Raw genomic sequence first — 18,820 nt, 5'->3', positions numbered from 1 at the left:
GTATGTATGAATATAGACCCATGTTAGAAGAATCTTTTCAACCATGAAGTAGATATTTTTTATAAAGTTTAAATGTGTACTGACTTGAAATTTAAAATCAGATATAATTCTAATGATCAACTCTTCCACTACTAACAGTCAAATAAAAATTATGCACCCTCATTCTACCTTATTATTTGTACCTGCTACAAAGTGTTATTTTTATAGTGCAGCCTTTCAAAACGTTACACTAAAATCCTACGATGATTTTTAACTTAGAGAAGGAAAAGCATGCTTAGCATGTCCCTATCTTTCATAAAAAGCACAGAAAATAAAACATATGTTATCCATAATCATTATCTTTGAAAACTGTCTATTCATCTAAGAAGTTTGAGTTCTTTAAATATGGTAATACTCCTCATAAAAAATACTTTTTACCACTGTTCAAAGTTAGCTGTTTCTGAGATATGCTGAAATTTATCACAAGTTTCTTAATAAGCAGGAGATTTTAGCTTTCTCAAAGACAATGGTTATTTCTGAGGGAAGATAAATGGGATGGAATCAGAAAGGAAGAATAGGGGGTTTCTAGTATGCCTGTGGTATCCTAATTCTTAACCTAGATGTTGTCACAAAGGTATCCACTTTATAACATTTTTATTTTGTCACATTATCTTGCAGCTACCTAATATTTAAATTAAAATATTATGTAGATATATGGTAGAGTTTAAATTTTGTTTTAAAGCAAATTCTTCTAAGTAAGTAAGGGAAATTACTCAAACTAGAGGAATAAATTCCCAAAGGAAGGAAAGCATGGTGTGTTCAGGAAACTGAAATAATTCCAGGGTAGCTGGAGCAATCTGAATGAGGAAGAGAATAGGACAAAATGAGACTATAGGGAAAAGAAGGGTCTGATAATGCGGAAACTTGGAAGATAAAATTCAGCACCCTCTCAACATTGCTGGAGAGTGTTCATGGACCTTCTTTTCTAGTGTAATCATTGCATTTCTTAGGATGGAATACTCCACCACTGCCATTATCATTGCCTAGATCTTCTCTAGGATCTCAGTTCTTACTGTAATACACACTATCATGATAGTATATGATGGAAAGTTTTTAGATATTTTAATTGGCATAGTCCTCTCTGAGCCTCTTCTGCATAACTGCAAATAAAAAGGAACAATGAAATAATATTGTTTTCAATCATAACAGTCTCTTCATTTTTTCCATTCAATTTTCACAAAAGGTTGGGTGTATATGTATATAGAAATTATGTATAGGATAAAGATACCATCTCAACGTATAGAAAAAAAGATACATTATTCAACAATTAGTGTTGGGACAAATAGCTAGCCACACAGGAAACAAAAAAAAAAAAAGGGAGGGGGGAGCTAGATCTGTATTTCACTCTTCCAAAAAAATAATTCCAGATGGATCAGGGTTTTAAACATTTTTAAAAACTTGTAATATTTTAGAATAAAATGGTACAATATTTAACCTAATCTTGGAGTAGGAAATCCTTTCTGTATGTCAAATAACACAGAAGCCTTAAAAAGGGTTAATAGAAAAGAGTAATAACTATGCCTGCATTTTAAAAATTCTGCATAAAAAACATGGTAAAGTTAAAAGAAAAAGCCCAAACAACTAACCTAAAAAAGAATTTTGCAACATATGGCACAAAGAGAGCAAATTTCTGTACTGAATGAGATATTCCTACAAATCAGTAAGAAAAATCAAAAACATAAAAGAAAACTGGGCAAAAAAAAATACATAGATTTGAAAGATCTTAAGCCTTTTACTTAGTCAAAAAACCTGCAAAAACAATTTAAAAAGGACTGGCTTTTTTAATAATCAGATTGACAAAATCAAAAAGATTTTTCATAAACAATATTCTTCATAGACTCTTCTCAGTAGTATAAATTTGAGCAATCAACCTATATGAAAATTTGGCAAGATGTATTTTCACTTACAAAGCATAAACCCTTTATCCAACATTTTACTTTAAGAATTTGTCCTATAGATATATAAATGTATGTATAAAAATTATTTACCATAATAATTATTGTAGCATTGCTTTTAAATATCAAAACACAAAACAATCTTAATGCTCATCAGTAGATTAATCACTACATTTAGGGATTTATATCCTTACAGTGAAACAGTATGCAGCAATTTTAATAAAATTAGTTCCTCATATACTAATGAACAAGGATCTTAAAGATACCTACTTTTAAGTGGGGAAAAATAACCGAAGTGTTATTAACAGTGAGCACAGAATTCATTTAACTATACACATACATATAGGCTAGCATAAAAGTGAAATGTTTCTCAACAGATGCTGGAGAGGATGTGGAGAAATAGGAATGCTTTTACACTGTTGGTGGGAGTGTAAATTAGTTCAACCATTGTGGAAGACAGTGTGGTGATTCCTCAAGGATCTAGAACTAGAAATACCATTTGACCCAGCAATCGCATTACTGGGTATATTCCCAAAGAATAATAAATCATGCTACCATAAAGACACATGCACACGTATGTTTATTGCAGCACTATTCACAATAGCAAAGACTTGGAACCAACCCAAATGTCCATCAACGATAGACTGGATTAAGAAAATGTGGCACATATACACCATGGAATACTATGCAGCCATAAGAAAAAGGGTAAGTTCATGTCCTTTGCGGGGACATGGATGAAGCTGGAAACCATCATTCTCAGCAAACTATTACAAGGACAGAAAATCAAACACCGCATGTTCTCACTCATAGATGGGAATTGAACAATGAGAACACTTGGACACAGGGCGGGAAACATCACACACTGGGGCCTGTTGGGGGGTGGGAGGCTGAGGGAGGGATAGCATTAGAAGAAATACCTAATGTAAATAATGAGTTGATGGGTGCAGCAAACCAACATGGCACATGTATATCTATGTAACAAACCTGCGCATTGTGCACATGTACCCTAGAACTTAAAGTATTAAAAAAAAAGAGTGAAATGTTTCTAAATATTTTACTGTTAAATTACTATCAATTAAGTTATTGATTATTTCTAGTCTTGAAGCCAAAGGATCTGAGTTGGCATGGGGACTTACATGTCATTGCACTGTGATTTTTGATTTTTAAAAACTATATGCTTGCATAGCTTTTTAAATTAAAAAATGAGGTTAAAAAAAGGTTAAACACTTGGTAGCATTGCTGATATAACTTTATTGTCTGAGAGAAAAAGAGGTGGGTGTCATATTGGTCATGTATATGGCATATATTGTCATATATTGGCTTTGACAAAGTGCAGAAAATGACCTAACCTGGTTTTACTTAATTTGTTTAAAAAAGTCATCCTCAAGAATGAAACAGAAGAGCTAGAGTTTTTTTTTTTTTTTAAATGCTTTGAATCATCTGAGAAATATGCACTTTGGTAGACTTCATCATCAGAAGTTTCTGCAAAGTTAATCCAAAAATGAGGAAGAAACAACCAAGTATTGACAGAAGGCATAGTTATGAACAAAACACTGGTCTTTATATGGATTCATTCATTGGTTCAAAAAAATTTGTATAAATTCAGGAATTGTGTTTTGCACTAATGAAACTGAAAAGAAGTGAAATAATATATCTTCTTTTATTAAGAGTATGATGGGAAAGATACACAATTAGCAAGAATTAAATTAGGTTGTTACAAATATGATAAATGCTATTATAAAGAAACAAAAATAATGCAAATGATGTAGGAGTGTGTGTGTGTATGTGTGTGTGACTATGTATTGAGGATGGCAGACCTCAGAATTGCTACATGTTTGTCATAAAGATAATAAGATCTCCTTTGAAGCACTCAGCCTGATTTAGAAGGCCTTGTCCTCAAAAACTAGAGCACACAAAACTTATGATATTCATCAATACAGAACTTTGCTGTGCATTTTTAAAACAAGTTACTTCTGACAATGAACTAAGAAACCAAATCAAGAAATCCAGTACATTTGTTGAAAAACAGAAACTGTTTATGGCATTAAGTCCTACAACATATTAAAATGCTGCTGGATGATGTAAAAACAACACATACAAATAACTTCAGGGTTCTGAGAGGCACAAATGCCACCATGTCCCACTGGGCTTCTTGTGCCATTTTTTGAGACACTCACATTTGGTGTATGAATACAGTCCTGTAAAAGTTCTTATAAGCAAGCTATTCCATAAGCACTAAAGGGACCACAATGCAATCAGGCTGTACTGGCTGGGTGTACAGATGACAGCAGCATTAAAAGTGAGGTTCCAAGGTGACCTAAAGTAATAATAACAAAATTTCCTCATAATAACAGCTGCTGTTGTTAGGCACTTCCCAGACACAAAATAATTTAAACAAAAATCACTCTGACAAGTGTATTATTACCCCATTTTTAAGATGGAAAAACTGAGTCTTAGGGACATTCACTAACTTCATAACAAAAATAAGATCGTTGGCAAATGACAGAACCAGGCTTTGAAATAATATCTTTTTGGTTCTAAGCCCTATGCTCTATATCTAGAAATTGAAAGGTGGAGAGAGACAGAGAGAGAGAGGGAGAGGAAGAGAGAGATGGAAAATGGGAGATGGAAATGGTAGAGACAGATAAAGATGGGAGATTGGAGATAGGTGGGAGTTGGGAGAGGGAAAGGGAGAAACAGAGAGAAAGAAGACACAGGGAAGAAGATAAGTAAGGAAAGAATAATCTTAAAGCCTGTGTATTACTTTTTTGTTTAAGGTATACAGATGGTTTGGAACCAGATCATTCTTAAAAAACAGAGTATAGTGGATAACAGTGTAGTTGTTGGAGTCAGAACTAATGACTAGAATTAGAATGTTGGCTCCAACATGGGAGAGGGAGAAAGAGAGAAGGGAAGAAGAGAAGGAAGGAACGAAGAACCTTAATACATGCGCACTACTTTTCTTAAAAGTACACAGCCACTGCACTCCAGCCTGGGCAACAGAGTGAGACTCTGTCTCAGAAAAAAAAAAAAGAAAAGAAAAGAAAAAAAAAGTACACAGATGGTTTGGAATCACATCATTCTTTTTTTTAATCGACGAATTAGACTTTATTAAAACTAAGACCTTCTGTTCATCAAAGGACATGCTTATGGATGTGCAGAGGCCAACCCCAGGGTAGGTGAAGATATCTGCAATACATCTATCCAATAAAGATCTCATACCCAGAAAATATGAGGACCTCCTACAAATCAATAAGAAAAATACATCATTTGTATAAAATGGTCAAAAAGACTTGAGCAGGCATTTTACAAAAAGGATATACACATGGCTAATAAACATAAAACTATGTTTAATAACAATAATCAAAGAAATATAAATTAAAACCATAATGGGAGACCTCTACACATCACTAGGGTGGATAAAACTTTAATATAAAAGTTTTGGCAAGGATTGAGCATCTAACTCTCATACACTGCTGGTGAAAGTCTAAATTTTTTTTTATACTTTAAGTTTTAGGTTACATGTGCACAATGTGCAGGTTAGTTACATAGGTATACATGTGCCATGTTGTTGTGCTGCACCCATTAACTCGTCATTTAGCATTAGGTATATCTCCTAATGCTATCCCTCCCCCATCCCCCCACCCCACAACAGTCCCCAGAGTGTGATGTTCCCCACCCTGTGTCCAAGTGTTCTCATTGTTCAATTCCCACCTATGAGTGAGAACATGCGGTGTTTGGTTTTTTGTCCTTGCGATAGTTTGCTGAGAATGATGGTTTCCAGCTTCATCCATGTCCCTACAAACGACATGAACTCATCGTTTTTTATGGCTGCATAGTATTCCATGGTATATATGTGCCACATTTTCTTAAACCAGTCTATCATTGTTGGACATCTGGGTTGGTTCCAAGTCTTTGCTATTGCGAATAGTGCCACAATAAACACACGTGTGCATGTGTCTTTATAGCAGCATGATTTATAATCCGGTATGAAAACCATGGCATGAGAACTACGTGACAAATGCATAAGCCTCAGTAGCTGATGCGATCAACTGGAAGAAAGGGTATCAGTGATGGAAGATCAAATGAATGAAATGAAGAGAGAAGAGAAGTTTAGAGAAAAAAGAATAAAAAGACATGAACAAAGCCTCCAAGAAATATGGGACTATGTGAAAAGACCAAATCTACATCTGATTGGTGTACCTGAAAGTGACAGGGAGAATGGAACCAAGTTGGAAAACACTCTGCAGGATATTATCCAGGAGAACTTCCCCAATCTAGCAAGGCAGGTCAACATTCAAATTCAGGAAATACACAGAACACCACAAAGACACTCCTCGAGAAGAGCAACTCCAAGACACATAATTGTCACATTCACCAAAGTTGAAATGAAGGAAAAAATGTTAAGGGCAGCCAGAGAGAAAGGTCGGGTTACCCACAAGGGGAAGTCCATCACACTAACAGCTGATCTCTCGGCAGAAACTCTATAAGCCAGAAGACAGTGGGGGCCAATATTCAACATTCTTAAAGAAAAGAATTTTCAACACAGAATTTCATATCCAGCCAAACTAAGCTTCATAAGTGAAGGAGAAATAAAATCCTTTACAGACAAGCAAATGCTGAGAGATTTTTGTCACCACCAGGCCTGCCCTAAAAGAGCTCCTGAAGGAAGCACTAAACATGGAAAGGAACAACCAGTACCAGCCACTGCAAAAACATGCCAAATTGTAAAGACCATCGAGGCTAGGAAGAAACTGCATCAACTAACGAGCAAAATAACCAGCTAACATCATAATGACAGGATCAAATTCACACATAACAATATTAACTTTAAATGTAAATGGGCTAAATGCTCCAATTAAAAGACACAGACTGGCAAATTGGATAAAGAGTCAAGACCCATCCGTGTGCTGTATTCAGGAAACCCATCTCACGTGCAGAGACACACATAGGCTCAAAATAAAGGGATGGGGGAAGATCTATCAAGCAAATGGAAAACAAAAAAAAGGCAGGGATTGCAATCCTAGTCTCTGATAAAACAGACTTTAAACGAACAAAGATCAAAAGAGACAAAGAAGGCCATTACATAATGGTAAAGGGATCAATTCAACAAGAAGAGCTAACTATCCTAAATATATATGCACCCAATACAGGAGTACCCAGACTCATAAAGCAAGTTATTAGACACCTACAAAGAGACTTAGACTCCCACACAATAATAGTGGGAGACTTTAACACCCCACTGTCAACATTAAACAGATCAACGAGATGGAATCACATCACTCTTAAAAGACAGAGTACTGTGAATAACAGTGTAGTTTTTGGATTCAGAACTAATGACGAGAACTAGAATCTTGGCTCCAACATGAATTAATTTGCCATATAAACTTGAGCATGTCACATAAGCTTTGAGCTTAATTTTCTCATCTGAAATAGCACATAACAGTACCCGTTTTCTAGAGTTAGAAGGAAAATTAAATGACAATATGGGTAAAGCATTTGCAACAGTGTTTTGTGTGCCAAACCACCAGAACAAAAGTTTGTGTTTAAAAACCCTCAGAACATTGAACTTAAAACACTCAAACACTCAAAATATTGAACAAAAATTTATTTTACCAATTACAACGATAATAATAGATATGTGTGAGAATTTCAATCAAAAACTACTGCTTTAGTACACAACTTGACATAACATGGCATGACTGAGGATTTGCAAGGAAATTGCCTCAAACAGACCAGCATGTTACTATTAGCAATGGTTCTTTTAGGCAAAACCTTAAGGCAGATCAGGATTTAGTCAAAGCCACAAAAGGTGACAACACTACTAATGGCTGCTCTTGCCATAAAGCACATCATATATTGATGGGACAGGACTACTGGTAAAAATTTTTCTCCTCTGCTCATAGCACCTCCAACAACAGACATCAAGATTGTTTTCCAGCTTTACTGGAATGATGTAAAAAATAGGTCCCATTTAAAAATCTAACATCTGTGAAATGTGTTTAAGAACATAAAATAAAATTTTTAAGTACTGGAGAGTGCCAGTTTGTTCTGTCCTCTGTCTTATCTGGTATTTGTAGTTTAATTCAGCATGCTTTGGTAATTAAAAAGAGCAATAATTCAGTAGTGTATGATTCCTAACTGAAAACTATGTATAAAATAAAATGTTATTAGAAAATAAATAAAAGTAGGGGACATACTCATTCCTTCCAAAATATACTTTGGCTTAATCAAGGTAATCATTTAGTTGGAATGCCAAAGTAATGTACTACTGAATTCTAGTCAGATTTTAACTTACTTTTATTGTTGTTGTGACTGAAAGGTGAAGAAAGTGTGTGCCTTAGCAAAAGTGTATAGCATGGTAAACAAGACTGTTTGCAGGCCTTCAGTTTCAGCAAGCTGCCTTACAGGGTCACATGGCTGATTTGAGCTGCTGAAGAAGTTCCCAGAAAAGAAACTTCAAAGGCAAGCTACAAAACAACTTTAATTAATTAAAAGGTTCTTTCTTCATCTTTGATTATCTCCAGTGCTTCTTGGACAGAAGCGAATGGAGAAACAAAGAACAGTTTGTATTATAGGATGAGCCTATCCATAAACTATAAACAGAGAAAGGGCATAACCACAGTGGAGCAACCTAGAGAGTTCTCAGAAGCAACTTCATGTTCCCTGAAATCTTTTGGGGACGTCATTAATTGTCGTATTTTCTTTTAAATCTAAGGGAAAAATTATCTGCTTCCCTGATTCCCAATCTCAAACAGGAATCCTCTGCCTCTTCCTCTTCCCCCTACTCTTTCTTTTCTTCTTCCTCTTTTTCCTACTCCTCTTCATCCAGTGATAGCTATTGCCTATGCTGCTATTAAGGCACTACCCATGGCTGCTTGCCAGTTACATTACTTATAGAATTTGAATTTCATAATTGTAACAGTGGCAGACACTGGTTAACACTCAACTTTAGGACAAACTCAAGCTTGTTAATCAGACCTCAACACCCTACATATTCTTTAGCTTTACTATTATACTCATCAAGGAACAAACTCTTAAATATATCAGCACTATCACTGCTTTATAAAAAGAACAAATAATGTGTTGATGAAATTTCATACCTGAGATACTGAATATAAATAAATTAGTATAAAAGAGAGCCAGAAGTCCAGAAGTCATCCTGATTATATCTTCACTCTCATTTCCCTCAGAAATCAATCTTCAAAGCTTTTAATTTTAGCTCCTAAATTTTTCTCCAGAAGTCCAACTGGCATCATCTCTCATCGAGATTACTACTACAGAATCTTCTTAATTTGTTTCAAACTCCAGCATCACCTTCCTCCAATGAATTCCCCACCTTGCCACTAGATCATTCTTCCTCAAGGATAAATTCAGTTATGCTATTCTTCAACTTAAATTCTTTAGTCACCATCCCAGGAATTATGCAGATAAAGACCTGCAACCTCCCCAACCCCTTCTCATTTTACTCAGTTCTAATGATCTACTTTCTGTCTCCTTGTGATCTCTCACCTTGGTGCTCTATTTGTCTAAAATGCGTTTCCTGGCATCCTTAAACTTGCTAACAATAACTTCTGACACCTAGGTCTTATCCTAGGTGTCACCTCTTGGATAGGCTGGGTTATGTGCTCTGTAGATTCACAACCCCCTGGGTGTCCTTCTATGGTACTTTTGTCAACCATCATGTTACCACCTTACTGCTTCTCTATTATCCTTATTCTACTATAAACTTCTTGATCCCTGGAACTATGTTTTTTCATATTGTCACTCTCAGATTCTAACCTAGGGAAGGTATTCAACAAATTATTGCCAAATGAATGAATAAAGTGAAAAATTAACTAAGAAATAATTGAATATAAGTACAATCTACTACTATATAAATGGATAGAATTTGATTGAAGTCATCAAACTCTGATAAAAATGCTACTGGAATAATATTTCTAGCATTAATACAACCAGACAGTGTAGTTACGTTCTATAAAATAAAAATTTGGGTTTGTTAATATATTACTTATCCATCTTCACAAATACACATTGCTTTATATTCAATTTCTGTATGACCAGGAGGTAAATATACTTTCTAAATTCAATTACAGTATGGATGATTGACAGGTAAAAAGGCCACAGACTAGACAGCAGGACACACACACACACACACACACACACACTCACTCACTCACACCACTTCAGCCCCATTCCTGATGCTTCCCAGCTGCTTGACTTGAAACACATCAGAGTGCCCTGAAACCTATCCTAAACCTATTCCATTTACTTTCCTTTAAAAACATTTTCTAATCCTATCCCTTGATTAATTTAAGGATTTGCTACCAGAAGTTTTTAGACATTCTTTTACATTATAATAAATCTGTAATTTTGTTAAAAAATTAGATTTGCAAACATACAGTGTTTTTTAATACATTGAAGAATTCTGTATATCCATGATATGTTAACTGAAAAAAAAATTCAAAAGGGAATAAAAGATTTAATCATTTTTAACTTGATTATCTATTAAGCAATATTTTAGATCAGGGGTCCACAAACCTCAGCTCCTGGAATGTCTGTTTGAGTAAATAAAGTTTTACTGGAACAGAGCCATATTAATTCATTCATGGATTACCTATATTGCTTGTATGACACAATAGAATTAAGTAGTGTAGAGGTAACACATGGCATACAAAGCCTGAAGTATTTACTATCTATCTGTTTACAGAATAAGATTCCTAAACCCTGCTCATTAACTTACCAAAGTAATATTAATACTATGAAGCATGCACTATAATTATCACCATTTTATGAATAATAACCTGAGGCATCAAGAAGTTAAATAATTTGCCCAACATCAGAAAGTTAGCAGATGGCAGAGTTGGGACAAATGCTGCAAGATGTGTTTTTAAGCAACCACTTGTCAAGCTAATTTAGCAGAAAGGAACTGCTATGGTCTGAAAGTGTCCTTTGAAGTTCATATGTTGGAAACTTGATTCCCAATGCAGCAGTGTTGGAAAGTGAGGCTTAATGGGAGGTGTTAAGGCCTGGGTGAGGCCCTCAAGAATGGATTAAAAACAAAACCATGGGAGTGGTTTCCTTAATAAAAGAACAAGTCTCTACTAAAAACACAAAATTTGACGGGGCAGTGGTGCATGCCTGTAATCCCAGGTACTTGAGAGACTGAGGCAGGAGAATCACTTGAACCCCGGAGGCAGAGGTTGCACTGAGCCGAGATCCCACCATTGCACTCCAGCCTGGGCAACAAGAGCGAAACTCTGTCTCAAAAAAAAAAAAAAAAGAACAAGTTTGTTGCCCTCTTGCTTTCTCTCATCCTTTTTGCCTTTCCTCTATGGGATGACCCTGTTAGAAGGCTGTGCAAATGGCAGCCTCTTGATCTTGGACTTTCCAGCCACCAGAACCGTCAGCCAGTAAGTTTCTGTTTGTTATAAATTACCCAGTCTGTGGTATTCTGTTATAGCAGCATAAACAAACTAAGACAGGAACTAAGCAAAGAATACTTTACAAAATTTCTCACTGTGTACCTCCTTTCATTCTAGAGGCATCCCTTACTGGAATACAGCTTTCTGAAGATATATGCCAGATGTGAAGCAGTATAGAAAGTATTCCAAGTTGCTCTTTGAGAAGGACAAATGGGCCCCTCTGATGATGTTGGTACAGAAGTACAGGTTTTAAGGTCCTTCTCAGCTTTAAATTCTACAGCATGAACTTATACTTCTAGAAAAATCACATTTTAGAAAATTTTAGGTTAAAATAATAAAATATTGCAAAAGACCAGAGAGTTCTCTCTTAAAAAGTCAGCAGCTTCACATGATTATATCTTTGACTTGATTAGCCCAATGATCTAATAAAAACTGACTCACATAAGTGACAGCTCTAATAGAATACTATTGCACAATATATTCATTCATTCATTCAGAAATATTTACTGAGTGCCTACTATGTGCTAGGCTCTGTTTTAGGGGATGGGGATATAGCAGTGAACACAACTGATAAGAACTCCTGATTAGATTTGTTTGTGTGCTCTGAAATGGCAGAGGCCAACCTTTACTATCATCAAAGAAAAATATATGTCTAGAAGACACCATGACAGTGAGTGGGGCTTCATGACAGTCCTTACCACTGTCTGATTCTTTACCAGTGTTTATAAATAGGTCTGTTTCTGAAAAGGTATTTTGTAAGGAAGGTAGAAGAAAACATTAATAACTTTTTAGATGAATGAGCTATGCCTTTTATCAAAAATATTTTCATCCTGCATACTCATCACCTGAGTGATTAAACAGGATTAAAAGAATCTAAGAGATCTGGACTCACATGTAAAATGGCTCTGGTGCCATTACTCATCCAAATTCAGGGAACAATATGTCATTGTAAAGAGAGTACATTTCTCTGGGCCAGGAAAATAACCTGTTTTTAACCCTGAGTACAAATGCCATTTTGAAGCAAATGTCCTTTTATGTCTATAAGTGTCCTATGCATTCATTTTATCACATTTCTTGGTTCACTACACAAGCATATCTGTAGATTATTTCAGGTACCTAAAAAATTTTAATACTTATAAATATCATGGCACACTGCAAGAAAAACGGAAAGATTTTAAGAATGATTTGAAATAGGCAGTCATAATATGATCTTCATGGTAAATCAAAAGAAATTACTTAAGAGCCACAACTGCAGCGAGAAAAATCAGAAACTTTTCCAACACATTTAGTATGAAAAAACAAAACAGTCCAAATGGAATATGCTTCTTCTCAAGATATTTATGCTTATTTTTTCTGCTGGCCAGCTATTATTTTATTAAATTTATAGTCAACTAATACAAGACAGAAATATGCCATGTTACACATATGAGCAAGTTATGGAAATAAAATTTAACAGTGTGATCTTGTTTTGAAGGGAACTAAAACCAACCTACAGAACAGTACCAAAGCTCTAGTATCTCTGAATGAGATCATATCACCCTGTAGAAGTCATTCCTTTAAGCATGAGTGATTTACATCTATGCTAGAAATATGGTATATTTTCATTAAAAGATAATCTCCAAAATATGCTTATAAAGGAGTTGATATCACGAATTAAGAAACATCTCCTGTTATTAATTACACAGAATGTGTCCTAAGTTCTGTTTAAAAATCTGTCATAATAAACATTTTGTACCTAATTCATACAAGGACAGCATTTGGCATTCTCTAGTACTGTAAATTAAATGAGAAATGTTTTACTTTTATATAGTGTGTCCTCTCTAATTTTCCAAATAGTTCTACCAATAACATAACATTTAATCTTCTCCATATGGCCTACAGAATTTTATGAACAAACTGATGAACACAATTCCTTCTACCACCAAGCTGAATTCTAGGGTAGTAATGAAATCTTTGTTTTCTCTGTTCTCTATTTTAATATTTTCATTTTTCTAAATATCAAGGTCTAATATGGCCACTGAACTTCACAGAAAAAGGAACTTTAATGAAACAAAATTTTGAGTTAATTTAAAAAATTATAAAATTAACAAAAATATTGCTATAATTTTTTGATATCTCTTTTTCAACTTTGTTCAATTTGTTTTTAGTCAAAGAAAAGTCATTAATAAGAAAACTTGTGGCTGGACACACTGGCTGACTCCTATAATCCCAGTACTTTGGGAGGCCAGGGCAGGCAGATTGCTTAACCTCAGGAGTTCAAGACCAGCTTGGGAAAGATGGCAAAACCCTGTCTCTACAAAAAATACAAAAATTAGCTGGGTGCAGTGGCACATGCCTGTAATCCCAGCTACTTGGGGGGCTGGGGCAGGAGAATTGTTTGGACCTGGGAGATGGAGGCTGCAGTGAACCAAGAACATGCCGCTGTACTCTAGCCTGGGTGACAGAGTGTGACCCTGTCTCAATAAATAAATAAATAAATAAAATAAAGGAAAGAAACCTTTTCTGATAATGTTGAAAATGTTAATAAACTAATCAGGCTAGTATTTTTAAATGATTTAGGGATTCCTCCCTAAATCATTCTATGTGGCCAGCATCATTCTGATAGCAAAACCTGGCAGAAACATGATGAAAAAGGAAAACTTTAGGCCAATATCCCGGATGAACAATGATACAAAAATCCTCAACAAGTAATTGCAAATAGAATCCAGGAGCACATCAAAAAGCTAATCCACCACATACAAGTAGGCTTTATTCCTGGAATGCAAGGTTGGTTCAACATATGCAAATCAATAGTTGTGATTCATCACACAAACAGAACTGAAACAAAAACCACATGATCATCTCAATAGATACAGAAAAGGCTTTAGCTAAAATTCAACATCCCTTCATGTTAAAAAACCCTCAATAAACTAGGCACTGAATGTACATACCTCAAAATGATAAGAGTGATCTATGACAAAACCACAGCCAACAGCATACTGAATGGGCAAAAGCTGGGAGTATTCCCATTGAGATCTGGAACACGACAAGGATGCCCATTCTCATGACTCCTATTCAACATAGTACTGGAAGTCTAGAGCAATTAGGCAAAAGAAAGAAATAAAAGGCATCCAAATAGGAAGAGGGGAAGTCAAACCATCTCTCTTCGCAGATAATATGATACTATGATACTATACCTAGAAAATCCCACAGTCTCTCCCCAAAGGCTCTTGGATATGATAAACAACTTCAGCCAAGTTTCAAGATACAAAATCAATGTACAAAAATCAGTATCATTTCTATATACCAATAATGTCCAAGCTGAGAGACAAATCAAGACCACAATCCCATTCACAAAAGCCACAAAGAGAAGATACCTAGGAATAGAGCTAACCAGGGAGGTAAAAGATCAGTTCAATACTAATTACAAAACACTGCTCAAAGAAGTCAGAGATGACACAAAGAAATGGAAAAACATTTATGCCCATGGATAGAAAGAATCAATAGCGTTAAAATGGCCATACTGCACAAAGGAATTTACAGATTCAATGCTATTCCTATCAAACTACCAATGACATTTTTCACAGAATGTGAAAAAATAATTCAGAAATTCATTTGGAACCAAAAAAAAAAGCCCAAATAGCTAAAGGAATCCTAAGTGAAAAGAACAAAGCCTGAAGCATCACACTACTTGACTTCAAACTATACCACAATGCTAGAGTAACCAAAACAACATGATACTGGCATAAAAACAGACACACAGACCAAAAGAACAGGTTAGAGAACCCAGAAATAAAGCTACGCACCTATAACCATCTGATCTTCAACAAAGCTGACAATAACAAGCAATGGGGAAAGGACTCACTATTCAATAAATGTTGCTGGGATGACTGGCTAGCCATATGCAGAAGACTAAAACTAGACTCTTGGCTTTCACCATATTTTAAAAAACCAACTCAAGATTAATTAAATGCTTAAATGTACAACCTAAAACTATAAAAACTCTAGAAGAAAACTTAGGAAATACTATCTGGGGCACTAGCCCTGGCAAAGACTTCATGATGAAGACTATAACAGCAATTGTAACAAAACCAAAAATTGACAAGTGGGACCTAATTAAACTAAACAGCTTCTGCATAGCCAAAACAAAACTATCAACAGCATAAATAGCCTATAGAATGGGAGAAATTATTTGGATATTATGCATTCCTCAAAGGTCTAATATCCACAACTTCCAAGGAACTTAAACAAATCAACAAGCAAAAAACAAACAACCACTTTATAAGATGGGCAAAGAACATGAAAAGGCACTTCTCAAAAGAAGACATATACGTAACAGTCAAGCATATGAAAAAATGCTCAATATTTCTAATCATTAGGCATATGCAAATAAAAACCACAATGAGATACTATCTCACACCAGTCAGAATGGCTACTATTAAAAAGTGAAAAAATAACATATGCTGACAAGATTACAAAGAAAAGGGAACATGTACAGTTCTGGGGTAATGTAAATTAGCTCAGTCACTTTGGAAAGCAGTTTAGAGATTTCTCAAAGAACTTAAAATAGAATTAACATTTGACCCTGCAATCCCATTGCGGGGCATATACTCAAAGGAATATAAATTGTTCTACCATAAAGACACATGAATGTGTGTGTCATAGCAGTGCTGACTGTTGCAAAGATGTGGAATCAACCTATATGGCCATCAATGGTGGACTGGATAAAGAAATATGGTACATATACACCACGGAATACTACACAGCCATAAAAAAGAATGAGATCATATCCTTTGCAGCAACATGGATGGAGCTGGAAGCCATTATCAAAACTGAATTAACACAGGAATAGAAAACCAAGTACCACATGTTTTAACTAATAAGTGTGAGCTAAACATTGAGTACACATGGATACAAAGGGAACAACAGACATTGAGGCCTACTTGAGAGTACAGGTTGGGAGGAGAGTAAGGATTGAAAAACTACCTATTGGGTACTATGCTTATTACCTGGGTAATGAAATTATTTATACATCAAACTCCCGCAACACACAATTTACCCATGTAACAAATTTGTACATGTACCTCTTGAACCTAAAAGTTGGAAAATGAAAATATATGAGGTTTCTGGTGAAATTTCCACTTAATCATCAGATAACACTCCTTGTTTCCTACAATTAAAATTTTTTGCTAAAATGCATTAGGATGTTTTGTTCAATGTTCAGAGAATTACTATGATCACAAGTGCATCTTTACTGATGACCAAAGAATTTCATGATAATTCAGATATAATTCTACATATAATTACCATTCTACCTTAAAATGGGTTCTTTGGGCTGAATTCATTTCCTGGAAGCTGGATTAAATGCTTCTCTGACACTCAATTCCCCTCATATTTTATGCATACATTGATCTTAATACTTAATAAACTACACTGAAATGAGTTTGTATGTACCTGAGCATCCTAAAGGCAGTTTTCATAGTTCTGTCATTAGTATCTACCCTCTCTCTTGCCATGTAGTTGGTGCTCCATAAATATGTGTTAAACTAAATCATTCATGGCCCATATCAGAGAAGAATGAAAAGGAAGAGCTCTCTTTCTTCACTTTCTTCAGAGATCAAAGAATATTTAAGCTTAATCTAAGTGTACACAGTAGAAAAAAATGCTTCTAAAAATGGAATACATTATAAACATTTTATTTCATAATAAGTAATGTATTACATTGATTGCTTATACCATAAGGAATGTTGACAAATATGGATGTAGGAGGACAAAGAACACCATGAAAAAAATTATGTTGACCTAATCACACTGTCTCTGTGAGTGTAAATATTAAAGAATTACCACTGCCACATCACTAAAAGAGACCTGAACAAGACACTGAAAGTGTAGAGATTTAATCTCCCTATTCTAGAAATAGTTATTGGGTTGATAAATGAAGAGAAGAGAGGTGAAGCAAAGACACGAGTTAAAATACACAAACATCGTCAATTATACTATAATTTTTTAACAGTAGATATATCATAGTGTTTTTCAAAGTATAACTAAGAAACTCAATTTTTGTTTGAAACAAGTATTATGCTTCACTACAACATGGAAAGTTACAAACTGGTTAGCTTAATTATAAAATATAAGATTAAATCCCAAACATAAAATTATCAAGAACATTAACTACAAATAAACACCACCATGTATTGAGCAATTACTGTATGCAAGGTACTACTAAGCCTTTTATGTATATTCGCTTATGTAACTCTTAAAGCTGCTTTGCTAAGTAGCTATCACTCTCCCTTTCTATTAGATAAAAAGACATAATTAACAAGTGAAATAAACTTAATTTTTAAATCAAAAGCTAAAATAATATACTTCTACTCAATTTTATCTCAGTGTTTATATAACTTCTATGAGTGCTGCTTTTGATACTTTCTTTAATTAAATTAACATAAATTTTAAAGCTTTGAAATTGAATGTTTAATTTATATTTGTATTTAATGAGGCTATTAGAATATATTAGGAAAGCTGAATGAAAGATATGGTATTAAATATAGTACCTGTTCTTTACCCTTTAAAAAAATATAGTTCTGAATCGTACAAAAGAAAATTATATGCTGAACTAACAATTCAAGATACAAATTTTGATCAAATTATGTAACTGCCCTTACAATATTATTCCACTTTCATGAAAGGGAAAAAAATGAATAAAAGGATGTGTTCAAATTTACATGGAATAGATGGATAACGGAAATGAATTTTTTGTTTCTCCTATGTTAAAAAAATTTGCAATTATAAGGAAAACCAAGGCAACCATTTTAGAGTAGAGTTCATTGATGGGTTGTTTTTTTTGTGTGTGTGTGTGTTTTTTTTTACATTGGAATAATATAGTTTTATATATAGAAAGATGTGAGGACAAGAATCAGTGAAGACTGAATTTCTATCACATAAATGAATAGTATATTTATTATAAAGAACCTAACAGCAAGTGTCAAACATGTTACCAAAGTAAAAAATATGCATGGTACACAAATCCTATTAAAAGACAAGCCAGCAAATCAAAGTGAACAATGTATAAAAAGAATTGTATGCCACAACCAATTCATATCTGTCTCAGGCATGCAAGGCTGGTTCAACATTAAAAAATCAACTCATGTAATCTAGCACATCAACAGGTTAAAGAAGAATAATTGCATGCTTATATTAAATTCAGAAAAAGCATTTGATGAAATTCAACACTCATTCATGATAAAAATTCTCAGTAAACTAGGAAAAGGGGGGGACTTACTGTACTTGATAAAGAATACCTACAAAAAAACCCACATCTAGCATTATACATAGTGATGAGAAACTCAAAGCTTTCCCACTAAGCTCAGGGCAAGGATATCCCCTCACTCCATTGCTTTTCAGTAGCATGCTGGGACTCTACTAAGACAAGAAGACAAGAAAATAAAAAGTATACAGATTTGGCCAGGCATGTTGCTTGCACCT

General features: G+C 34.6%; 1 protein-coding gene across 6 annotated transcripts in view; it reads right to left on the bottom strand.

The window, feature by feature from the left end:
- Window positions 1–18,820, bottom strand: part of CHSY3 (chondroitin sulfate synthase 3) — a 282,656-nt gene that overhangs the window by 186,155 nt on the left and 77,681 nt on the right. The window lies entirely within an intron of this gene.

Source organism: Homo sapiens, chromosome 5 (genome assembly GCF_000001405.40).
Source record: "Homo sapiens chromosome 5, GRCh38.p14 Primary Assembly".
NCBI classification, from domain to species: Eukaryota; Metazoa; Chordata; class Mammalia; order Primates; family Hominidae; genus Homo; species Homo sapiens.
Note: the sequence above shows the minus strand (reverse complement) of the source record. Positions and strands in the feature narration are given on the sequence as shown.